At 47.5% G+C, this 25,359-nt stretch overlaps 1 protein-coding gene across 1 annotated transcript in view, besides 2 other annotated features; it reads left to right on the forward strand.

The window, feature by feature from the left end:
• MAML1 (mastermind like transcriptional coactivator 1) overlaps positions 1 to 25,359 on the forward strand; it is a 44,462-nt gene that overhangs the window by 12,388 nt on the left and 6,715 nt on the right. Inside the window, exons 2-3 of the mRNA NM_014757.5 lie at positions 20,117 to 21,532; positions 23,641 to 23,880. Of these exons, the coding sequence (NP_055572.1) occupies positions 20,117 to 21,532; positions 23,641 to 23,880 (1,656 nt within the window). The remainder of the gene's footprint in view (positions 1 to 20,116; positions 21,533 to 23,640; positions 23,881 to 25,359) is intronic.
• Positions 4,539 to 5,039: an enhancer, noted in NCBI's record as "H3K27ac hESC enhancer chr5:179176749-179177249 (GRCh37/hg19 assembly coordinates)". NCBI's record gives its function as "activates a minimal SCP1, AML or CMV promoter by ChIP-STARR-seq in primed H9 embryonic stem cells {active_cell/tissue: H9 hESC(primed)}" and the evidence as "EXISTENCE:reporter gene assay evidence [ECO:0000049][PMID:30033119]".
• Positions 15,039 to 15,118: an enhancer, noted in NCBI's record as "active region_23759". NCBI's record gives its function as "activates an Ori minimal core promoter by ATAC-STARR-seq in GM12878 lymphoblastoid cells {active_cell/tissue: GM12878}" and the evidence as "EXISTENCE:reporter gene assay evidence [ECO:0000049][PMID:35858748]".

Below are 25,359 nucleotides of genomic sequence, written 5' to 3' on the forward strand. Positions count from 1 at the left end.
ATAAATTTTTATAAGTAATTATTATGTAAAAAAGTACAAGTTTATTAGAAATGCCCTCCCTAATGAGATAGGGCTCCCTTACCTGCCTTGATTTATTCATGTCATTTATGGAGTTACTTGTAGCCAAAGTAAGAGTTCTCAGTTCAGTTCTTGTTTTTGTTTTTGTAAATTTAAGTCCCAGAAATTCTTGCTCACATAAATAAACTATAAAGGAAAGTAATAATGGCTGGGCGCGGTGGCTCACGCCTGTAATCCCAGCACTTTGGGAGGCAGAGGCGGGCGGATCACCTGAGGTCAGCAGTTCAAGACCAGCCTGGCCAACATGGAGAAACCCCGTCTCTACTAAAAATATAAAAATTAGCCGGGCGTGGTCAGGTGCAGTGGCTCACACCTGTAATCCCAGCACTTTGGGAGGCCGAGGCGGGCAGATCACGAGGTCAGGAGATCGAGACCATCCTGGCTAACACAGTGAAACCCCGTCTCTACTAAAAATACAAAAAATTAGCCAGGCGTGGTGGCGGGCGTCTGTAGTCCCAGGTACTGAGGAGGCTGAGGCAGGAGAATGGCGTGAACCCAGGAGGCGGAGCGTGGAGTGAGCCGAGATCGTGCCACTGCACTCCAGCCTGAGCGACAGAGCGCAACTCCGTCTCAAAAAAAAAAAAAAAAAAAAAAAAATTAGCCGGGCGTGGTGGCATGTGCCTGTAATCCCAGCTACTCGGGAGGCTGAGGCAGGAGAATCACTTGAACTGGGGAGGCGGAGGTTTCGATGAGCTGAGATAGCGCCATTCCATTCCAGCCTGGGTGACAGAGCAAAACTCTGCCTCAAAAAAAAAAAACAAAACCAAAAAAAATGGCTTGGCACGGTGGCTCACACCTGTAATCCCAGCACTCTGGGAGGCCGAGGCAGGTGCGGATCACCTGAGGTCAGGAGTTCGAGACTAACCTGGCCCACATGGCGAAACCCCGTCTCTACTAAAAATGCAAAAATTAGCCGGGTGTGGTGGCTGTTGCCTGTAATCCCAGCAACTTGGGAGGCTGAGGCAGGAGAATCGCTTGAACCTGGGAGGCAGAGATTGCAGTGAGCGGAGATTGTGCCACTGCACTGCAGCCTGGCGGCAGAGCGAGACTCCGTCTCAAAAAAAAAGGGAATAAGTTTAGTTATAGCAATGTTTTGTTTTTTTTGAGACAGTTTCGCTCTTGTTGCCCAGGCTGGAGTGCAGTGGCGTGATCTTGGCTCACCGCAACCTCTGCCTCCCAGGGTTCAAGTGATTCTCCCACCTCAGCCTCCCGAGTAGCTGGGATTACAGGCATACGCCACCACACCCGGCTAATTTTGTATTTTTAGTAGAGACAGGGTTTCTCCACGTTGGTCAGGCTGGTCTTGAACTCCCGACCTCAGGTAATTGGTCCACCTCGGCCTCCCAAAGTGCTGGGATTACAGGCGTGAGCCACCACACCTAGCCAGCAATGTTACTCAATATTTTGAAACCTGAATTGTGTGCCAAAAAATCACAGTTACATATAATCAAAAATTAACTTATCAGTTGACAACTTGGTTAGTCTTTTAATTTCATTGAAAACTAAGAATTAGAAACCATCCGACTTGCAAAAGGATTTATCTAGTCATTAGTCTTCACTCTCAGTGAGAAATATAACAAAAAGCCTTTAGCAAGTCTTATAAATTGGTTATTGATTATGCCTGCTATTCTTTCAGTTAAGAGGTACCTTGTTTCTTTCTTTCTTTGTTATTTCCCAGCCGCCTACCCCTGAAACAGAGTCTCAGGCTGGGTTTATTTTTATTTTTGGTAGAGACGAAGTCTTGCTCTGTCTCCCAACCTGGAGTGCAGTGGCTATTCATAGGTGCTATCATGGTGCACTACAGCCTTCAACTCCTGGGCTTAGCTCCCTAGTAGCTGGGATTACAGATGTGTGCCAATGCACCTGGCTTTCACACTTTTAATTAGTGTGTTTTTGCTGTTCTGTATTAGACTATGAGCAACTTAAGAGCAAGACCAAGAGTCTGGCATTGTACCTGCTGTATTTGGCAGTCATCAAGCATCTGTTGACTGTGTGTTAATGGTATTATAGAAGGTGCTCTGAAGTGAGAGTCAGAAGCTGTATGGCTTTGGGCTAGGACCAGTTGGGAAGTGGAGTTGGTAGAGGTAAGGCAGGAGGTCCTGATTTGCACATCCATGTTTAGGGCTTCATTGATCACACTAGGAGGGAGCGACCTGAATGTCCATCACAGATGAATGGATAAAGAAAATGTGGCATATCCATACAACAGAATATTATTCAGCCTTAAAAAGGAAGGAAATAGGCTGGGCACGGTGGCTCATGCCTGTAATCCCAGCACTTCGGGAGGCCGAGGCGGGCGGATCACGAGGTCAGGAGATCGAGACCATCTTGGCTAACACGGTGAAACCCCGTCTCTACTAAAAATACAAAAAATTAGCCAGGTGAGGTGGTGGGCACCTGTAGTCCCAGCTACTTGGGAGGCTGAGGCAGGAGAATGGCGTGAACCCCGGGAGGCGGAGCCTGCAGTGAGCCGAGATTGTCCCACTGCACTCCAGCCTGGGCGACAGCGAGACTCCATCTCAAAAAAAAAAAAAAAAAAAAAGAAGGAAATACTGTTCTGTGCTGCAACATGATCTTTGAGGACATTATGCTAAGTGAAATAAGACAGTCACAAAAAATAAATATTGCATGATTCTACTTATTTGAGATGTCTAAAATAAACTCATAGAAACAGAAAGTAGAATGGTAGTTGTCATGGGCTCGGGGAAGAGATAGGGGAGTTGTTCATGGATATAACTAGATGAGTAAGTTCTACTTACACAACAATGTGCATTTGGTTAACACTATTGCATACTTTATTTACTAATTTTTTTGACATGGAGCCTCACTCTGTCGCCCAGGCTGGAGTGCAGTGGTGATATCTTGGCTCACTGCAGCCTCTACCTCCTGGATTCAAGCGATCCTTGTGTCTCAGCCTCCTGAGTAGCTGGGACTACAGGTGCCTGCCACCACGCCTGGCTAATTTTGTATTTTTAGTAGAGATGGGATTTTGCCATGTTGGCCAGGCTGGACTCGAACTCCTGACCTCAAGTGATCCACCCACCTCAGCCTCTCAAAGTGCTGGGATTACAGCCATGAGCCACTGCACCCAGCCGACTACTGTATACTTTAAAAAGTTAAGATGGTAAATTTTATGTTCTGTGCCTTTGACCACAGTTTTTGAAAAGTGAGACAGAAACTGTGATTTTATAAACCACATGCCCTAAAAATGTTCTAACAATATTATAAGAGTTGTTTAATAAAGGCATATCAATAAAATTTAAGGACCAGTGTAAGTGGTCCGACATCCGAATAATAGGAATTACAGGAAGAGAGAAAACAAGGTGGGAAGTGACCTATAAAATAGTTGATAACAGAAGCACATGAGCCAACAGATTAAAACTGTGTACTTGTGCCTAGCACTAGGGAAGAAAATAGACCTGCACCAGGCATGGAATTTCTGAACATTGAGTTGATAGAAAAGATTTACAAGCTTCTGGATGGGAGGGTACCAGGTCACATATCAAGAATCAGAATGTCTTTGGACTTCATGGCAGCAGCATAGGAAGCAAAAAGAGAATTGGAACAATGTCTTCAAAATTCTGAAGGAAAGTGATTACTAACCTGGACTTCTGTACCTAGCCTAACTATACAACAAGAATAAGTGAGAAAAAGGTGTTTTTGTTTTTTTTTTTTTTGTTTTTTGTTTGTTTGTTTGAGATGGAGTCTCACTCTGTCGCCCGGGCTGGAATTCAGTGGCATGATCTTGGCTCACTGCAACCTCCACCTCCTGGGTTTGAGCAATTCCCCTGTCTAGGCCTCCTGAGTAGCTGGGATTACAGGCGCCTGCCACCACACCTGGCTAGTTGTTGTTGTTTGAGATGGAGTTTTGCTCTTGTTGCCCAGGCTGGGGTGCAATGGCGCGATCTCTGCTCACTGCAACCTCCGCCTCTGGGTTCAAGCGATTCTCCTGCCTCAGCCTCCCGAGTAGCTGAGATTACAGGCATGCGCCACCACGCCTGGATAATGTTGTGTTTTTAGTAGAGACAGGATTTCTCCACGTTGGTCAGGCTGGTCTTGAACTCCCAACCTCAAGTGATCCGCTTGCCTCGGCCTCCCAAAGTACTGGGATTACAGACGTGAGCCACCGCACCCAGCAAATTTTTGTATTTTTAGTACAGAAGGGGTTTCACCATGTTGGCCAGGCTGGTCTTGAACTCCTGACCTCTAGTGATCCACTCATCTCGGCTTCCCAAAGTGGTGGGATTACAGGCCTGAGCCACTGTGCCTGGCCGAAAAAGGTTTAAAAAATTTAAATGTCATACTCCTTCTCAAGAAGCTACTGGAAGATGTGTTCCACCAAATTGAAAGACTAAATCATGAAAGAGTAAGACACAGATACAGCAAACAGGAGCCCAACACAGTAGACATGGCCTGGGAGGCCCACAGAGGATGGCGAGAAGTGATCCTAGGGTGGCGGCTCTGCACCAGACGTGGAGGGCAACTGAGCCATACTGCAGCAGTGCAACCCACCGAGAGGTGAAGGCAGGCCATGGTGAGCTTAGAAACAGGAAGTACAGGGCAGCCCCCTTGCTCTGACTGTATTTCCACTGCAGGTCCAGCGCCTGGTCCCCACCTTGGCCCTGCCTGGTGCCTGACTATGCTGAGCCCTGTGTTTCCCAAAACTCCAAGATCTTGCTCACGACTTCCTCAGGAGGGGCTTTGTCAGCTCCCGGAGAAGCAGAAGTCAGATCACAACCTGGAGATTGATGCGCTCACCTCCTGGAGCCTCCATCCAGCAGGGGCAGTGCTGCCCTCTCCTTGCACTGCCAGTGTGCACCTGCTCTCCGCTTTAATATTAATCATCTTTGATATTCATTTACATGTAGTTATAATAGCTGCCCAAATAGTGAAATAGTAAATAAAATTACCAAATGATCTTCTGTGGATGTGGCCATGTGCTCTTATCTCCTGCGGATTCTTGCTTAGACTTCACATGCTTACTCTGTGAGCCCTTTCCTGAGCACCTTATTTGGAATCATAAGTCCCACCAACTCTCTCTTTGAGTGATTTGTTTTCTCGGGAGTACGTCTCAGCTAGAATATAGGCTCTAGGAGAGCCTGTGGTTTTGTTTGCTTGTTTCTCTGCTGTATCCCTAGGGCCCAGAGAGTGGCTGGCTCAGTCAGCTCTCAATAGATTTTTTTGTTTTTGTTTTAAGACAGGGTCTCTTGACTCCCAGGCAGGAGTACAGTGGCCCGATCTAGGCTCACTGCAACTTCTGCTTCCCGGGCTCAAGCTATTCTCCTGCTTCAGTGTCCTTAGTAGCTGGGATTACAGGTATGAGCCACCATGTCCGGCTAATTATTGTATTTTTTGTAGAGGTGGGGTCTTGCCGTGTTCCCCAGGCTGGTCTCGAACTCCTGAGTGCAAAGCAATCCGCTTGCCTGGGACTCCCAAAGTGCTGGGATTACAGGCCTGACGGCTCTCAGTAGATTCTTATTGGATAAATTGAATGAGATGATGAGGAAGAGTTTGCTAGAAAGAGAAAGGTGGGCAAGGATGACGATTCCCAGCAAGGAGGCAGCTGGCACAGAGCCACAGTGCCTGCTGTATGGAGCCCTTTGTGCAGTAAGGAGCTGCTGCTGGGCCCAGGCGGCAGGTCCCGGGGGCTTCCCTTATCTTCAGTGCTGTCCTGAAAACTTAGTTGTTCAAGGCTACTTTTTTTTAAATCAGAATCTCGCTCTGTCACCAGGCTGGAGTGCAGTGGCACGATCTTGGCTCACTGCAACCTCTGCCTCCTGGGTTCAAGCGATTCTCCTGTCTCAGCCTCCCGAGTAGCTGGGACTACAGGCGCACACCACGATGCGTAGCTAATTTTTTATTTTTAGTAGAGACAGGGTTTCACCATATTGGTCAGGCTGGTCTCAAACTCCTGACCTCAGGTGATCCACCCGCCTCGGCCTCCTAAAGTGCTGGGATTACAGGCGTGAGCCACCGTGCCCAGCTGGCTACTTTCTATAGTTATACTGTCCATGAGGGTAGCCATCAGCCAGGTCAGGTTCTTAAGCACGTGGAATGCACCTTGTTAAACTTGACTTGTGCTAAAAGTGTAAAATGCACACTGGATTTTGATAATTTAGTACCACAGATTTTTTTGGTGCACTCACTTCAGTGGCTGTCACCTGTAATCCCAACACTTTGGGAGGCCAAGGCGGGCGGATCATGAGGTCAAGTTCGAGACCACCCTGGCCAGCATGGCGAAAGCCCGTCTCTACTAAAAATACAAAAATTAGCCGGGCATGGTGGCGCACACCTGTAATCCCAGCTACTCGGGAGGCTGAGGCAGGAGAATCACTTGAACCCGGGAGGCAGCGGGTGCAGTGAGCCAAGATCATGCCACTGCACTCCAGCCTGGGTGACAGAGCGAGACTCCATCTCAAAAAAAGAAAAAAATACCGATTATGGCCAGGCACAGTAGCTCATGCCTGTAATCCCAGCACTTGGGGAGGCTGAACTGGGCAGATCACTTGAGCCCAGGAGTTCAAGACCAGCCTGGGCAGCATGGCAAAACCCCATCTTTACAAAAAATTAGCCAGGCTTGGTGGTGTACACCTGTAGTTCCAGCTACTAGGGAGGCTGAGGTGAGAGGATCATCTGAGCCTGGGAGGTCAGGGCTGCAGTGAGCTGTGATTGCACCACTGCACTCCATCGTGGGCAATAGAGTGAGACCTTGTCTCAAAGAAAAAAAAATACTGATTACATGTTAAAAAGATAATATAGGCCCAGTGTGGTGGCTCACACCTGTAATCCCAGCACTTTGGGAGGCCGAGGTGGGTGGATCACGAGGTGAAGAGATCAAGACCATCCTGGCCAACATAGCGAAACCCCCTCTCTACTAAAAATACAGAAATTAGCTGGGTGTGGTGGCGCACGCCTGTAGTCCCAGCCACTCAAGAGGCTGAGGCAGGAGAATCGCTTGAACGCGGGAGGTGGAGGTTGCAGTGAGCCGAGATCGCACCACTGCACTCCAGCCTGGCAACAGAGCTAGACTCTGTCTCCAAAAAAAAAAAAAAAAAAAAAAAAAATATATATATATATATGGTTAAATAACATTATTAAAGATATTAAGATTTTTTCTCAAAAAATACTGATTATATGTTAAAAAGTTCATATATATTGGGTTAAATATGATATTAAAATTGGCACCATCTGTTTCTTTTTATGTGCTACTAGCAAATTTTGCCCACACTTGTGGCTGGCATATTTCTATTAGTGCTGTTGAGTAATGAGTACGTTTGTACTGTGTTGAGTTTAACACTTTATTAGATACTCTTTTTTTTTTTTTTTTTTTTTTTTTTGAGATGGAATCTCGCTCTGTCGCCCAGGCTGGAGTGCAGTGGCGTGATCTCAGCTCACTACAAGCTCCGCCTCCCGGGTTCACGCCATTCTCCTGCCTCAGCCTCTGGATATTACTCTTTATGTCCTCTTTCATCTGTGGAACTCATTTATTTTATTTTATTTTTTTGAGAAGGAGTCTCACTCAGCTGCCCAGGCTGGAGTGCAGTGGTGCAATCTCGGCTCACCGCAACCACCATCTTCCAGATTCAAGTGATTCTCCAGTCTCAGCCTCCTGAGTAGCTGGGATTACAGGCACCCGCCATCATGCCCAGCTAATTTTTGTATTTTAGTAGAGACAGGGTTTCACCATGTTGGCCAGGCTGGTCTTGAACTCCTGACCTCAGGTGATCCGCCCGTCTTGGCCTCCCAAAGTGCTGGGATTACAGGCGTGAACCACAGCACCTGGCCCATCTGTGGAACTCTTATCTCACTGTCACTTCACAATCATTGGAACAGGAAAGACTGTATTTATAATTACTGATTTCAGTTTGCTCACCTAAATCCTAGATGCTATTTTTTAGTGTGTGTGTGTGTGTGTGTGTGTGTGTGTGTGTGTGTGCGCGCGCGCGCGCGCGTGCTGGGGTGAAGGAGTCCTGAATTCACATTGTCTGTCTTTGGCCTCTGGCAATCTGCCTTCTGATTTCACTACTCAATTAAACCAGTCTATCTTGACATCTTTAATGCGTTTTTACTTTTATTACCCTCCGTGCTACGTTTGATAATATTTCAAATTTTTCTCCTTAAGATAGAATTGCTGCACTTAACTCCCAGATCCATTTGGACAAGTAGATTCAATTGTTTTATTTGTAAAGGGAATAAGGGTGTCCAGCTTGGTCAAAGGAGTTTGAGGAGTACATGCATGTTCTGGACTTACACACCGAGTGATTGATGCCTCGAAGAAAGCGAATGGCAAAGGATTAAGACAGTAGTGGATGAGATGAATCGGGGGGGAGAAGTGTTTCTGTTTGGGTTGTTTTATTATTATTATTATTTTTTTTTTTTTTTTTTTTTTTGAGGCAGAGTTTCGCCCTTGTTGCCCAGGCTGCAGTGCAATGGTGTGCGATACTGGCTCACTGCAACCTCCGCCTCCCGGGCCCGGGTTCAAGTGATTCTCCTGCTTCAGTCTCCCAAGTAGCTAGCTGGGACTACAGGTGTACACCATGGTGCCTGGCTAATTTTTTATTTTTAGTAGAGATGGCGTTTCACCATGTTGGTCAAGCTGGTCTCGAACTCCCGACCTCAAGTGATCCACCCACCTCGGCCTCCCAAAGTGCTGGGATTACAGGCGTGGGCCACCTTGCCTGGCCTTGTTTGGATTGTTTTAGAATGTAAAATTGGGCTGGGCACAATGGCTCACGCCTGTAATCTCAGCACTTTGGGAGGTCAAGGTGGGTGGATCCCTTGAGCCCAGGGGTTTGAGAGCAGTCTGGGTAATATGGTGAAACCCCATCTCTAAAAAAATGCAAAAATTAGCTGGGTGTGGTGGCTCCATCTGTAGTCTCAGATACTCAAGAGGCTACAATGGGAGGATCACTTGAGCCTGGGAGGTGGAGACTGCACTTAGCTGAGATTGCGCCACTGCACTCCAACCTGGGTAACAGAGCGAGACGCTGTCTCAAGAAGAAGAAATAAATGAATATGAAATTGAAGGCAGGCATGGTGGTTCACGCCTGCAGTCCTAGCCTTTTGGTAGGCCAAGTCAGGAGGGCTGCTTGAGGCCAGGAGTTCCAGATCAGCTTGGGAAACATAATGAGACCCCATTTATTTGAATAGTAAAAAATTAGCTGAGTATGGTGGCGCATGCCTGTAGTGCTAGCTACTGGGGAGACTGAAGTGGGAAGATAGAGCTCGGGAGGTGGAGGCTGCAGTAAGCTAGGATCACCCCACTGCACTCCAGCCTGAGTGATAGAGCAAGACCCTGTCTCAAAAAGAAAAAAAAAATGTGAAATTGAGCATATATTTGAAAGAAGCCACTACCACAGTGGTTCTCAAACTTGGCCTTTGTCAAAATCACCTGAAGGGCTGACTAAAACCACTTTCTGTGCCCCACGCTTAGAGTTTCTGACTCAGTGAGTATGGGGTAGTGCCTGGGAATTTGCATTTCCAATAGATTCCCAGGTGATGCTGATGCTACTGGCCTGGGATCACACTTAGAGAACCACTGCTCTAGAACAAAACAAATTCAAGTTATTTTTGAGATGAAGAGGGGACGAATTTGAAGGACAGAAAGTCTCAGATGAGGCAGGTCCAGAGGGAATAAGAAGGTGCAGCTGAAGGGAGTTAATCTTTGCAAGGAGAAGTGCTTCCCTCTTACAGAAGAGAGAAAGAAAAGAGTTGATAAGACGCTAAAAGGTTTTGAGGTGAAAGAGAGGCATATTTAAGGGAGTCACCTAAGTTGGACTTTGAGACACAGCTTTAAATCAAATAGATCTGTGTCCAAATCCTGGTTCAGCAGTCACACTCACATTCCAAGTTGTATAACTTCTCCAAGCCTTAGTGCCTTTATCTTGAAATTCAGGATAACCGAACAGCACTTAGCCTGTAGGTTGTTGTGAAGATTGAGTGATGAGCTAGTACTGCTTCCTGTTAGTGAGCAGAGAGAGCGAGCCTGGGAAACAAAAAGACAAAGAACAGAGTGACCTTGACTGTAGCAGTGGGGGAGGTGGGAAAGTTAACTGTGAACTTTCACTGGATACCTGTAATTTGCTGAGCATTAGACTTGGCCCTGGGGATGAAAAGGGCAAGGCTTTGGTCTTCAGGGATGGAAGGAGATGCAGAGAAAGTGAACATGTACAGTACGACACAAATGCTTTACCACAAACATGAAACGTAGTATTGTATACAAAGTACTGTTAGAGCATTAGGGATAGAATAAGGAATTTGACCAGCAGTAGGATAAGTGGTTGGAGAGAAAACACTGCAGAGTTGATGTTTGAGCTAAATGAAGCTTGTCCAGCCTGCGGCCGAGATGGCTTTGAATGCAGCCCAACACAAATTCATAAACTTTCTTAAAACACTATGAGATTTATGCATGGACCTTTTTTTTTTTTTAAGCTCATCAGCTACTATTATTGTTAGCTTATTTTATTTGTGGCCCAAGACAGTTTTTTTTTTTTTTAAGACAGAGTCTCATTCTGTCACCCATGCTTGAATGCAATGGCGTGATCTCAGCTCACTGCAACCTCTACCTCCCAGGTTGAAGCAGTTTTCCTCCTTCAGCCTCCCGAGTAGCTGAGATTACAGGAGCCCACCACCACGCCCAGCTAATTTTTTGTATTTTTAGTAGAGAGAGGGTTTCACCATGTTGGCCAGGCTGGTCTCGAACTCCTGACCTCGTGATCCACCTGCCTCAGCTTCCCAAAGTGCTGGGATTACAGGTGTGAGCCACCATGCCTGGCAGTTTTTCTTCTTTCAGTGTGGCCCAGGGAAGCCAAAAGATTGGACACCCCGAGCTAAATCTTAAAACATTAGTAGGAGGTGGCCGGTCGCGGTGGCTCATGCCTGTAATCCCAGCACTTTTGGAGGCCGAGGCAGGTGGATCACGAGGTCAGGAGATGGAGACCATCCTGGCTAACACGGTGAAACCCCATCTCTACTAAAAATACAAAAAATTGGCCGGGTGTGGTGGCGGGCGCCTGTGGTCCCAGCTGCTCGGGAGGCTGAGGCGGGGGAGTGGCGTCAACCTGGGAGGCCGAGCTTGCAGTTAGCTGAGATCATGCCACTGCACTCCAGCCTGGGCCTGGGCGACAGACAGAGCGGGACTCTGTCTCAAAAAAAAAAAAAAAAATTAGGCGGTCACCAGCCTGGAAGTATATTCTCAGTCCTGAAAGACATTCAGTTTAAGTTGGGGCCCCAAGGGAATGGCAGGGAATTCAACAGAGAAGTTAATTGGGAATCAGATCAAACAGGCCTTTATGTGCCAGGTTAAGGAGTTTGAACTTTATCTGTAAGTAATGGGGAAATAAGACACTTAAAATGGTGCAGATATGTGTTTTATAGCGGTCACACGGATAACATCATAAAGGGTGTGTTAGATCCGAGAGAGAATAGAAACAGAAGTCAGCATGAAGTTATTTCTGTCATCTAGGATAAAAAATGACTTGAACTAACATGGGCGTAGTATGGAGGTATCTCACTGGAGAGAGATTTAGAAGGGCGAATCAGAACTCAATGCCTGGTCATCGGAGAGGACAAGGATTGACCCATGCACTGAGACAGGGTGCATGAGAGCAAGGTGTGGATTTGGGGAGGAAGGCAAAGAACCCAGCTCGGACTGGGTTTACAGTAAACCCAGCTGGGATTACAGGCGTGCGCCACCACGCCTGGCTAATTTTTGTATTTTTAGTAGAGACAGGGTTTTTACCATATTGGTCTTGAACTCCTGAGCTCAAGGAACCACCCACCCGCAGCCTCCCAAAGTGCTGGGATTACAGGCTGAGCCACTGTGCCCGGCTGTGAGTTTGGAATAATGACTTGCACTCTATTTACTGTTAATTTATATACAGCCTGTACAGAGCAGTGTCTGCTGTATAGGAGGACTTTGGTGAATGAGTACTCTATGAGCCCCTGAGAGCGTCTCCTTGTTCAGAGTAAAAGTTGGTATTAGAATTATAGCAATGTGGGTCAAGTGAGGTTGCTCACACCTGTAATCCCAGCACTTTGGGAGGCCAAGGCGGGCAGACTGCTTGAGGTCAGGAGTTCAAGACCAGCCTGACCAACATGGTGAAACCCCGTCTCTACTAAAAATACAAAAATTAGCCAGGCATGGTGGCGGGTGCCTGTCATCCCAGCTACTCGGGAGGCTGAGGCAGGAGAATCACTCGAACCTGGGAGGCGGAGGTTGCAGTGAGCCGGCATGGTGCCACTGGACTCCAGCCTGGGTGACAGAGTGAGACTCCTCTCAAAAAAAAAAAGAAGTATAGCAATGTGGAGTTTTAAAGCCAATGGAACTCTAGATCATCTAACCCAGCCATCTTCAGGTTCTAAATGGGTTATGTCTTAACGTCACACATCCAGTTAGCAATCGCCTGCATTGTTCTCATGTCTACCAAGCAACCTTCTGAGCCTCACTGGTTTCCCAAATTGGTTTTTCTCTAGTGAAGAGAATATACTGACTGCCTGCCAAGCACAAGAATCAATCTATTTAACAATTTTGTTTCTCAGTGAATTCTAACTTTGCTTATCCTGCAGGAAGAGATTGTATTGTTAAATACTTACATAGCTTTGCTTTAAAAAAATCTCTTTAAAAACTTTCCATCGAAAAAGGTGATGGTTATATGCACATAGAACTATACACATGCATTATACTGATATCAGATTCCTGGGTTTGATATTGTGCTGTAATTACGTAAAACACAGTCATTGGGAGAAACTGGGTGAAGGGTGCACAGGACCTCTCTGTACTATCTTTGCAATTTCCTGTGAATGTATAATTATTTCAAAAACGTTTAAATTTAAAAAGATGATGTGAAAACGTTTAGGCACCAAACTACAGAGTTTTCTGGAAAATACCGGAACTGGAACTTACCTTCTCTATGTCCTCGACAAGTGGATTCAGTGACAGGAATGGAGCTTATAGGGATCTTTAGTTCTTATCATGCTGAGTGGTTTGTATTCTAAATCAGTGACTATTCCAAACTAGTAAGACAAATAATGTCTTTAAAAGTGGGAATTTTACTAGCAGGAATTTTAGAACGTTTAGACAGTTCTCTGATTTTTTTTTCTTTTTCTTTTCTTTTTTTTTTTTTTAATAGGGTCTTTCTCTGTCCCCTAGGCTGGAGTGCAGTGGCACGATCATGGCTCACCGCAGTCTCCCTCCTGGGCTCAAGTGTTCCTCTCACCTCAACCTCCCAAATAGCTGGGACTACAGATATGCCCCACTGTGCCTGGCTAATTATTTATTTTTTTTAGAAATGGCGTCTCACTGTGTTGCCCAGGCTGGTCTTGAACTCCTGGGTTCAAGTGATCCTCCTGCCTTATCCTCCCAAAGTGCTAGGATTACAGGCGTGAGCCACCACACCCGACCATTTTTTTTTCTTTTTTAAAAATATTTTACTGGCCCAGCGCGGTGGCTCACACCTATAATCCCAGCACTTTGGGAGACCAAGGTGGGCAGATCACTTGAGGTCAGGAGTTCAAGACCAGCCTCGCCAACATGGTGAAACCCCGTCTCTACTCAAAATACAAAAATTAGCCAGGCATGGTGGCGCACGCCTGTCATCCCAGCTACCCGGGAGGCTGAGGCAGGAGAATAGCTTGAACCTGCAGAGGTTGCAGTGAGCTGAGATCGTGCCACTGCACTCCAACTGGGGCAACAGAGCAAGACTCCGACTCAAAAAAAAAAAAATTACAAAGATTGTTTGTGGCGCTGGTATGTGGGATTTCCTCACAGCACAGTTCATTTTTCTGGTAATGACAGCTGCTGGGTATCTGCGCTTCACGAAGGTGCTCCTATTTGTACGGTTTGAAACTGACTCACTCTGTCCTGCTGCTGGTGTTTGACATGCAAGCTTCTCTTTCGGCATCACTCTCGGAAGTGGGATCAATTCACCAAGTCTGTTCTGACAAAGGGAGTCTGTCGGCAGCAGACCCCAGCATTCAGAAGGGATCCTTCTTGAGACATCAAACCTCAGGAAACCTTGTGTAATTTTCTCAGTTTCAGTGGCAATAAAACAGGAACAATGATGCTCATCCTCTAGGGTTGTTTTGAAGGTTGAGTGAGATCCTGAATTCACTGGGAATAATAGGTTAAGAATGATTAACTGGGAATACATCATAAGTAACTGGAAATGAGGGGTCAGCAAGCACATGACTTAAGTCAGGACTTCTTCCTACAGCACTTGGTTCAGATTTGTGCTTTATCAAATTAACAAGTTGCTACTTGACATGGATTTCCCTTCCTCAAGTCACTGAAAACTTGAGTGTTTCATGAAATGGACCTACTTTACCTGAAGAGAGGGTCAGGGCTCCCGAGTGTCCTGTGGACATACAGGGACTGGGAGAGAAATGTTGACCATGGGATTGGGTTGGAATTGCCAATAGTTAACAATTATTGCCTTAAAAACTTCTGATGTTGTAAGTCCTACCCTCACGTGGAGTCCCAGTGAGCCACGCTGGTGGAGTCCCTCTGACTCTGATGAGGAACACAGGTTGGGAGGGCAGGATCTCAACACATGGTTAAAATAATTCAAGTGAGAGATATGTGTGTTAATGAATGGAGAGAAGTGGGTGGGTTCAAGAAATATTAAGGAGGTAGACTCTACAGGACTTGGGTACCAGTTGTATGTAGGGACTAAGGAGGAGCGGGAGGGAGGCTGGTTTCTGGTTTATGTGACAGGGCGGCTGGTAGTGACAGTCTTATGTGGGAACAGAGGAAAGGAAACAGGACTGGGGAGAGGCTGGCCTCAGCTTTGGACAGATGTCATCTGAGTCATCACTCAAGTGGACAGGGGCTCAGTAGGTCTTCGGATAGACAGAAGTAAGAGCTCTGCAGAGGTGGGGCATCAGATGGCACATTTATTCACAGACACTTATCAAGTGCTGGGCACTGTCGAAGGCACTGGGGTCTCTGCTTGGCATTCTAGTGTCGGGTTAGGCCCTGACACTAGATGAGTGCCTCTGGTGAGGGGATCAGCAAGAAAGTACTATGGTGTGGGTGGTAGGTGATGTGGATGATGGAGGAGATAAGCCACCTGAATTAGAAGCTGAGTCATCCCCAGAAAAGTTAGAGGGAAGAGGTGCTCTGGGCAAAGAGAAGAGCAGGTGCAGAGGCCCCAGGCAGCACTGAGCAGGCACATTTGAGAAGCTATAAGCTGTAAGCCAGCCGCATGACCCCAGCATGCTGCACAGCAGGGAGGGCTATGAGGGAAGTTGGAAGGGACAAGGGCTGAGTGGATCAGCGTTTGGTTCCCAGACAGTTGGGTTTATTTGAGTGTGATGTTCAGTCATGGGAATTTGAAGGCATGGGAATGTGTGAAATCTCTCAGGTAGACTATGTAGAGTAAAAGGGGGAGAGGACTGTACTATTTGATAGAAGGGCAGGAGAAGGGGAGACTTCTCAAAGGATACTAGAAACAACCAACCATAAAAGCAGAAGAGGATACAAGAAAAGTGGTAAAGAAAAAGGGAACTTTAAAGATGGAAGCAGGCCGGGCGCAGTGGCTCATGCCTGTAATCCCAGCACTTTGGGAGGCCGAGGTGGGCAGATCACAAGGTCAGGAGATCGAGACCATCCTGGCTAACACAGTGAAACCCCGTCTCTACTAAAAATACAAAAACAAAGTTAGCCGGGCGTGGTGGCAGGCGCCTGTAGTCCAGCTACTTGGGAGGCTGAGGCAGGAGAATGGCATGAACCCGGGAGGTGGAGCTTGCAGTGAGCCGAGATCGCGCCACTGCACTCCAGCCTGGGTGACAGAGCGAGTCTCCGTCTCAAAAAAAAGATGGAAGGAGGCCAGGTGCAATGGCTCACACCTGTAATCCCAGCACTTTAGGAGGCTGAGGCAGGAGGGTCGCTTCGGCCCAGGAGTTTGAGACTAGCCTGGACAACATAGTGAGACTCCTGTCTCCACAAAAGCAAAAAAATTAGCCAGTTATGGTGGTTCATGCCTGTGGTCCCAGCTACTCAGGAGGCTGAGGCGGGAGGATCACTTGAGCCCAGGAGTTTGAGGCTGCCATGAGCCTTGATCATCACCCATTGTACTCCAGCATGGGTGACAGAGTGAGACCCTGTCTCTTAAAAAAAATTAATAAAGGGCTGGGTGAGGTGCCTCACACCTGTAATCCCAGCACTTTGGGAGGCCGAGGTGAGCGGATCACCTGAGGTCAGGAGTTTGAGACCAGCTGGCCAACATGGCGAAACCCCATCTCTACTAAAAATACAAAATTAGCTGGACATGGTGGTGCACGCCTGTAATCCCCGCTGCTCGAGAGACTGAGGCAGGAGAGTCACTTGAACCTGGGAGGCAGAGGTTGCAGTGAGCCGAGATTGCACCATTGCACTCCAGCCTGGGCAACAAGAGTGAAACTCCGTCTCAATAATAATAATAAAGATGAATTATTAAGTGGCAGATGATAAGAGGGAGAGGAAGGGAGTGCAGGGAGAGAGGGAAAGGAAGGACTGAAAATATGGCCTATGTGTAACAGTAGGAAGATCATTGCTGGCCTTGGAGAAAGCAGTTCTCAACTCCTCCCTTCCTTTTCCCCACATCCCATTGATTTCCAGATTGGCCAGGAATGTAATCCATATTGCCATAGATCAAGGTGCTGGCTCTAAGGGGTGGGAACTGGTGGAGTTTGGCTGACAGGAAGATGATAGAAGAGGTAAAAAAGAGGAGGCAGGAGGAAAAGCAAATTTCCTGATGAGTAGGGCTAGAAAGGGGCATTGGCTGCCAGTGTGTAAGGAGCACTCATGAAAGAACCACGCGTGTCTTCAGCAGCTGTGTCTGTCAGCTCAGAGTGGAAGCATGTAGGTATTGTCATTTTTTGGTGAGTTTGGCCACAAAGCATTCTGGGAGTGCAGCGGTGGGTGGTTGAAGAAGGAGGAAGTGGAGATAGGCAAAGGATTATCCTTCCTATAAGGCTAGTGCATGGTGGGTGAGAGACTGACAGGATGCTGCTTAGGAGTCCAAAAGGTGTGGCCAGCTCCAGCTTGATTCAGAGCAGTGGTGGTATCCTGGAGCTCCTCTCCCAGAGCAGAGGATGGCAGGTGGCGCCTGGAGAGTGTGGCCTCCCAGCGAGGGAGCTGGCACAGGCTAGGATGGGACTTAGGTCAGCGGGGTGTCTTGGTGGAAGGCTGAGCACACGTGGTTCTCCAGCCGACCACGAGCATCTGATCATATTATCTCCCAGGACTGGGTCCTCCTGGAACCCTGTACACTGCAGAAACTCTTCAGTAGTTACAACAGGAACCTTTGAGCTGAGCACCCAGAAGTACCAGATGTGCTGGAGCAGGCTCCTGTATTTATACGTGGCAGCCAGTCTAGTATTGCTTTATAGCACCTTCTGTGTCTGTTCTTACATAACTTTTAATCTGTTCAGGCTGTTTGCCCATCTCTATTGTGATTCTTTGAGTTCAGGCTCCAAGGCTCACTCATCCTTGCCCTGCATATCAGACACTCCTGCAAATGCTCAGGGCTTAAAAATCTGCCGGGGCCACCACATTACACACTCCTATCCCCGTCTACGTTATTCCAGTTAAATTTTGTGAGTAGTTGACAAAATGCCCTACTGTTTCCTTTGGTTAAAAGCAATAGGTATTACAAAATTCAGTTGTTACATTGGAACTTGTCTGCAGCTGTTTGCATGTGAATATTGAATGAGGGAGTGGTAGCTTTTGTAATTGTTAGGGCAAAGAAAGATTCTGTTTCTAATCTGAGACAACCAGCTGACTCATCAAGTGCCTTGACCCTTTAGATTTCCATCTTTCTTTTTCCCCTAGGAAGATGGAAAACTGAGCTCCCAGGTTTACAGATAGCCCAGACCTGGCACTGTGGAACAAAAGAAAATGGTAGAAAAGATGAAAATCAAGGAAATGTTAGCAACTAATTTTTATTTCCTCTGACCATTTAAATGGGTATGAATTTACCTTCCACAAGGAAAACTTTTCAAATAATGGCTTTTTATAAAGGGTCTATTTTATGTGCGTGGTTCCCTTCCACCCCTAGGTGGCAGGAGAAAGCAGAAGAACCTGCATGAAAGTAAAGCAAACGTCCTGCAGCTGTGGGGCGGTGTTCTGAATCCTAGGATTGTTGCTTACCTCTGCCCTGCAGTTCCATTTGTCAGGCATTCCTGCGATTTTTTTTTTTTTTCAGACCGACTTAGTTACCCATATATGGATTTTTAAAAATACTGACTTGGCTAGGATTTATAGAGCACTGTGTAGTCAGCTTTAACAGTTAAGAAATAAGCAAATCTTGATGTGGGGAAAAGAAGAACAGGAACATTAGAATTGGGGATTAGAGGTTGAGAAAATGGTCCTCCCTGGTGTCCAGTGGGTAATCTGCTGTTGAGAACTGATGCCCGTGGAGTTGCCCCAGGCAGGACGCCCAGGCCAGGGCACTTCACCTGGGCCCCTGGGGTTGGTGTGGAGAGTCAGGTGGCCTTTCTCTGCAGCCGGAGAAGCTAGCACAGGGGGCTCCCCGTCTCCTCTGAATCCTGTCTAAAGATAATAATGAGGGCTGTTACTTGGAACATTTTCTAATAACATGCTATAGATGCTTAGGGTTTATGGGAAGGGGGGATGGTACTGGGGGTGGGGGATAAAGGACAAAAACGTAATAAAGTAAACACAGGAAAGGAGCAGCATGTGTTTGGAAGCTGAGCATAGGCACTCCCTCTGAGCAGTGGAGTTGAGTCCTGACTGCAGCACATGCAGGTGAGGAAGCAGTAGAAGGAGTCCGTCTTCTGTCCCCTTCCCATCCCTTCTGACATGTTCTTATCTTGAAATCGCCGCCCCTGAACTCCCAGGGTACTTACTGTGTGCTGCTCTCACTCTGTAGCCCTGTCTGTGTATGTCCCATGTCCTGAAAGCCCACCCGAGGAGGAGCTGTCTTCTTTGTCTTTATGTTCCCCACAGCACTTGTCTCTGGCACAAGGCAGAATCTTAATAACTTCAGTGGCATGAATCCATCGAGGAGCAGATGGGAAGCAGAGTCACAGTGTCACACCAGACAGATTATGTTCAAGCAAATAGTCCCAATAAGAAGTAGTGAGGGGCCGGCCGGGCGCAGTGGCTCACACCTGTAATCCCAGCCCTTTGGGAGACTGAGGTGGGCAAATCACCTGAGGTCTGGAGTTCAAGACCAGTCTGACCAACATGGAGAAACCCCGTCTCTACTAAAAATACAAAATTAGCTGGGCATGGTGGCACATGCCTGTAATCCCAGCTACTCTGGAGGCTGAGGCAGGAGAATGGCTTGAACCCTGGAGGCGGAGGTTGCTGTGAGCCAAGATCACGCCATTGCACTCCAGCCTGGGCAACAAGAGCGAAACTCTGTCTCAAAAAAAAAAAAAGTGAGGGGCTGGGCACAGTGGCTCATGCCTGTAATCCCAGCACTTTGGGAGGCTGAGACGGGTGAATCACTTGAGGCCAGGAGTTTGTGACCAGCCTGGCCAACATGGTGAAACCCCGTCCCTACCAAAAAATACCGGAAGTTAGCCAGGCACAGTGGTGCACATCTGTAATCCCAGCTACTTGGGAGGTTGAGGCATGAGAATTGATTGAACTCAGGAGACGGAGGTTGCAGTTAGCTGAGATTGTGCCACCGCACTCCACCCAGCCTGGCGGCAGAGCAAGGCTCCATCTCAAAACATATATATATATATAATATATATATGTGTGTGTGTGTGTGTGTGTGTGTACTCTCTGGCATTTTTTTGTTGGCTCCATTCTTGGGCATACCGCCAGACGAGATGGCTGTGGGCAGCCTCATGCCTGTCTCCTGCAGAAAGAGGACTGCAGAAGCACTTTAGCTAGACATCAGTTCTGACTGGCCAGGTATAGGACCGTCAGGGAAAATGGAGGTGTGTCCCCAGAAATGGGAGTGTACACTATGCAAGCAGAACCCACTGGCGAGCATTGCAGGGACATCAGCCCTTGGCTTGTTACTGTCATAGCAGAGCAAATTCATATGTATCTTAAGTCATTCTTTTCAATGTTTTTCAGCATCTTCATGATACAGTTAAGAGGAATCTTGACAGCGCCACTTCCCCTCAGAATGGCGATCAACAGAATGGCTACGGGGACCTCTTTCCTGGGCATAAGAAGACTCGCCGGGAGGCCCCTCTGGGAGTTGCCATCTCTTCCAATGGACTGCCTCCAGCCTCCCCCCTCGGTCAGTCTGACAAGCCTTCTGGAGCCGACGCCCTGCAGTCCAGTGGGAAGCACTCTCTGGGGCTAGACTCTCTCAACAAAAAGCGTCTGGCTGACTCCAGCCTTCACTTGAATGGAGGCAGTAACCCCAGTGAGTCATTTCCTCTGAGCCTGAATAAAGAACTGAAGCAGGAGCCTGTCGAAGACCTGCCTTGCATGATCACTGGGACTGTCGGCTCCATATCGCAAAGCAACCTCATGCCAGACCTCAACCTTAACGAGCAGGAGTGGAAGGAGCTCATCGAGGAGCTGAACAGGTCGGTGCCCGATGAAGACATGAAGGACCTGTTTAATGAGGACTTCGAGGAGAAGAAGGACCCAGAGTCTTCTGGCTCTGCCACACAAACCCCCTTGGCACAGGACATTAATATTAAGACGGAATTCTCTCCAGCAGCCTTTGAGCAAGAACAGTTAGGCTCTCCACAAGTGAGGGCCGGGTCTGCAGGGCAGACCTTTCTGGGGCCTTCCTCTGCCCCTGTGAGTACAGATTCCCCCAGCCTAGGGGGCTCCCAAACCTTATTCCACACCTCTGGTCAGCCCCGGGCGGACAATCCCAGTCCAAACCTGATGCCGGCATCAGCCCAGGCCCAGAACGCACAAAGAGCCCTTGCAGGTGTGGTATTGCCCAGTCAGGGCCCAGGAGGGGCCTCAGAGCTGTCCTCTGCCCACCAGCTCCAGCAGATCGCTGCCAAGCAGAAGCGCGAGCAGATGCTCCAGAACCCACAGCAGGCCACCCCGGCACCAGCCCCGGGCCAGATGTCCACATGGCAGCAGACGGGGCCCTCCCACAGTTCCTTAGATGTCCCTTACCCCATGGAGAAGCCTGCCAGCCCTTCCAGCTACAAGCAAGACTTCACTAACTCCAAACTGCTCATGATGCCTAGTGTGAATAAGAGTTCCCCTCGGCCCGGAGGCCCCTACCTCCAGCCCAGCCATGTGAACCTGCTGAGTCACCAGCCACCGAGTAACTTGAATCAGAACTCCGCGAATAACCAGGGGTCTGTGCTGGACTACGGCAATACAAAACCCCTTTCTCATTACAAAGCGGACTGTGGGCAAGGCAGCCCGGGGTCTGGCCAGAGCAAGCCAGCCCTGATGGCTTATCTTCCCCAGCAGCTGTCCCATATAAGTCACGAGCAGAACTCCCTGTTTCTGATGAAGCCAAAGCCAGGAAATATGCCTTTCCGATCACTGGTTCCACCTGGCCAGGTAAGTATGAGCCTTTGCTTTCTGTTCCTCTGCTGCAGACACTTCAGTGAGGTTACTCACTACTTTGGATGTTAATTGGATCCGAGGTAGTTGTGGGAAGAGGGAGGAGGGAATAGCTGCTGTCATCCTTGCTCCTCTTGGGAGTGGAAATTTATAAAATAAACCAGGGTTGATTGTTAATAAAAAATAGGGTAAAGTTCCCTGGCATAGCTTGATTATTAACTGCACGAAGGTTTCAGGAATCACCTGCATTTAGTCCACTGTCTCTTTCGTGCCGTAGGATTTAAATTAAGTAATTTGCGACTGTGTTTTGCAGATAAACATTACGTTTCACGTGCTTCTTAGAGGCTTGGCTTTTTTTTTTTTTTTTTTTTTTTACTACCTTTCAGATCTCCATGTACAAAATTCCCTAATTTTTGGTAAGCTTATAACATTGTAGGCATGTGCTGCTTCCCAGCACAGCTCAGCTCTGTGCTTACTTCATCATGGTTCTAAAGCCCGGTAGCATCAAATGGAAAATGGCCCTTCGGGTTGTTTCCTGTTTTCCGCTAGTGCAGATAAGCCTGCAGTGAACGTGAATTTGTAATACATGCTAAAATTTTGCAAATTAAAAAGCCCAGTGCCGGTAATATCATGAGGAAATAGACACACTCCTGTATTGATGAGAGTGTGTAAATGAGCTCACTGCTTTTGGGAAGTCATTTGACATTATGTATTTTTCACATGCTGTAAAATGTTCATATGCATTGACACACTATATACCCGACAAGTTGATCTAAAGAAATAATCCAAAATAAAAGAAAAAGTTATATCCAAGATATTCATTGTGTGGTTATTTCTAATAGCCAAAAACTGTAAGCCATTTAAGCATCTCCCAGTGCTGATAATTCCACTTACTTCAGCCAGTAAGATGTCTCACGCCGTTCAGCACCCCCTGAAGAGAGGCTCAGCTGCACACAGTGAGGGTGCTTGCCATCTGGGTAGCACTTTGCAACTTACGAAGCACTCTCAGTAGTTCTTAAGCTTCTGGTGATTAGAGTGAAGAAATTATACCAGAATCTTAGAATGAATAACTAGAAAGGAGCTCAACAATTTGAACTGGTTTAAATAATGATTGCTTTTTGCCTATCTTCTGCTAAGTTCCCCTTTTCTTCTAAGTGTCAGTAATGACGGGATAATATTGTGGTGGCCTTTGACATGACTCTCACTTGTGGTCTATATATTGACAGAGAATATCTGTTAAAGTTCTCATTGATTCTCAGTATTTTTTGAGGATGGGTATTTGACAAAAGCTAAGCAGTCTCTTCCAGTAAAATGCTTGCGCAGATGTACAGTTTCGGGTCGTTCAGGGATAGCCCGAAATCCAAGGTTTATGCACATGGGACAGAGTGGTCTCCATTGACCAAAGCCCCCTTCAAAGTGTTCTTCCCCTAGGCCGGGTGCAGTGGCTCATGCCTGTAATCCCAGCACTTTGAGAGGCCGAGGTGGGTGGAGCACCTGAGGTCGGGAGTTCGAGACCAGCGTGACCAACATGGAGAAACCCCCATCTCTACTAAAAATACAAAATTAGCCAGGTGTGGTGGCACATGCCTCTAATCCCAGCTACTCAGGAGGCTGAGGCAGGGGAATCGCTTGAATTCGGGAGGCAGAGGTTGCGGTGAGCCAAGATCGTGCCATTGCACTCCAGCCTGGGCAACAAGAGCGAAACTCCGTCTGAAAAAAAACAAAAAGTATTCTTCCCCTATTGGCCCGCTCTGCACTCAGATGTCCTGATAAGTGAGCATTTCTAAGCCTCGATTGCTTACTGGAACTATTGTGTGCAAATATGAAAGCTTACATATGCTTAACGTAAAACCATACCTTTGTCACTGGTGAATCACTGGGAGTAAAACTAACACCTATGGAGTAATTGTTCGTTGCTAGGCGCCTGTATGCTCAGATGTCATCACTTTTGGTCTGTGCTCCAGCCCTGTGGGATGGTTGTTATTCGAGGTCAGAAGGGAAGCAGAGACTTGGCTTCAAGAGAGTGAACCTTGAATTCACTGGATGGAGCTTATTTGGTCTGATCAGAGCTTAGAGACTTCACAGTCCCCTATCTGTGTTGACAGGAGCAGAACCCTTCCAGTGTCCCTGTGCAAGCCCAGGCTACCAGTGTTGGGACCCAGCCGCCTGCCGTGTCCGTGGCCAGCTCCCACAACAGCTCCCCCTATCTCAGCAGCCAGCAACAGGCCGCTGTAATGAAGCAGCATCAGTTGCTTTTGGACCAACAGAAACAAAGGGAGCAGCAGCAAAAGCATTTACAGCAACAGCAGTTCCTTCAGAGGCAACAGCACCTTCTCGCGGAACAGGTAAAAAGAAAAGTGGAAGGAAACCACCGCTTCCCACCTTTGCCTGCACCCTGCGTCACTGCTACAGTCACACCTTCTGCTTGTGCGTGTGGATTTGCGCAGACTTGCGTGCCTGTTGTTAGAGTGCTTTGCCTTTTAAAAACATCTTTCCAGGAATGTGGCATTTCTCAGACAGGGGTAGTCTTGTCAGAAGCTGCTTCGTGTCACTTAGTGGAGAGTACTCAAGGCAGACTCGGGGGCTAAAACTGTTTGTGGAAGGGACATTTTCCTATGTTTCAGGTCAGCAGCTTCCAAGCCACTGAGCTCACGTGTCTGTCATTCCACTATGGAGTCAGCTTTGCTGCCACTACAGAGCCTGTTATAAGCCAGAACGTGAAGAGGGAAGTGAAGTCATCCCTGAGGGAAACACAGTTCACTCGCTTGGTTAGCAAGTGTAGTGTGCAGGCACTAAGGGTTACAAGTGAGAGTTCTTTTTTTTTTTTGGAGACAGAGTCTTGCTGTCACCCAGGCTGGACTGCAGTGGTGCGATCTTGGCTCACTGCAGCCTCCACCTCATGGGTTCATGCAATTCTCCTGCCTCAGCCTCCCGAGTAGCTGGGACTACAGGCAAGAACCACCATGCCTGGCTAATTTTTGTGTTTTTAGTAGAGATGGGGTTTCACCACGTTGGCCAGGCTGGTCTTGAGCTCCTGACCTCAAGTGATCCACTCATCTCGGCCTCCCAAAGTGCTGAGATTACAGGCGTGAGCCACCACGCCTGGCCTTAAATTACATCTTTAAGACATAAGAACTGGCTCCAGACAGTGAGGTTCATTGAGGACAATCCCTGCCTCAGTTCTGCCTTTAAGAAAAGCAGCTTTATTGTGATGTAACTCACACAGCATACACTTCACCCACGTAAGTGAACAATTTAGTCATTTTTAGTATATCACAGAGTTGTGCAACCATTACCACAATCCATTTTAGAACATTTTCATTACCCTAAAACAAATCCCATACCCATGAGCAGCCATTCTCCCATCCACCCTGCCTCTCCAGCTCCTGATCTACTTTCTGTCTCTATAATTGTCTGCTCTGGGCTGGGCGCAGTGGCTCACTCCTATAATCCCAGCACTTTGGGAGGCCGAGGTGGGCGGATCACGAGGTCAGGAGATCAAGACCATCCTGGCTAACACAGTGAAACCCCGTCTCTACTAAAAATACAAAAAATTAGCCAAGTGTGGTGACGGGCGCCTGTAGTCCCAGCTACTCGGGAGGCCGAGGCAGGAGAATGGCGTGAACCTGGGAGGGGAGCTTGCAGTGAGCAGAGATCGCGCCACTGCACTCCAGCCTGGGCGACAGAGCAAGACTCCATCTCAAAAAAAAAAAATTGTCTGTTCTGGACATTTTATATTTATGTTATGTCATTTTCAATCATGTGCTAGGTAACAGCAATTGATTCCTCTTGATAATAATATTCCATTGTATGGACATGTTACA

Source organism: Homo sapiens, chromosome 5 (assembly GCF_000001405.40).
Source record: "Homo sapiens chromosome 5, GRCh38.p14 Primary Assembly".
Taxonomy (NCBI): Eukaryota; Metazoa; Chordata; class Mammalia; order Primates; family Hominidae; genus Homo; species Homo sapiens.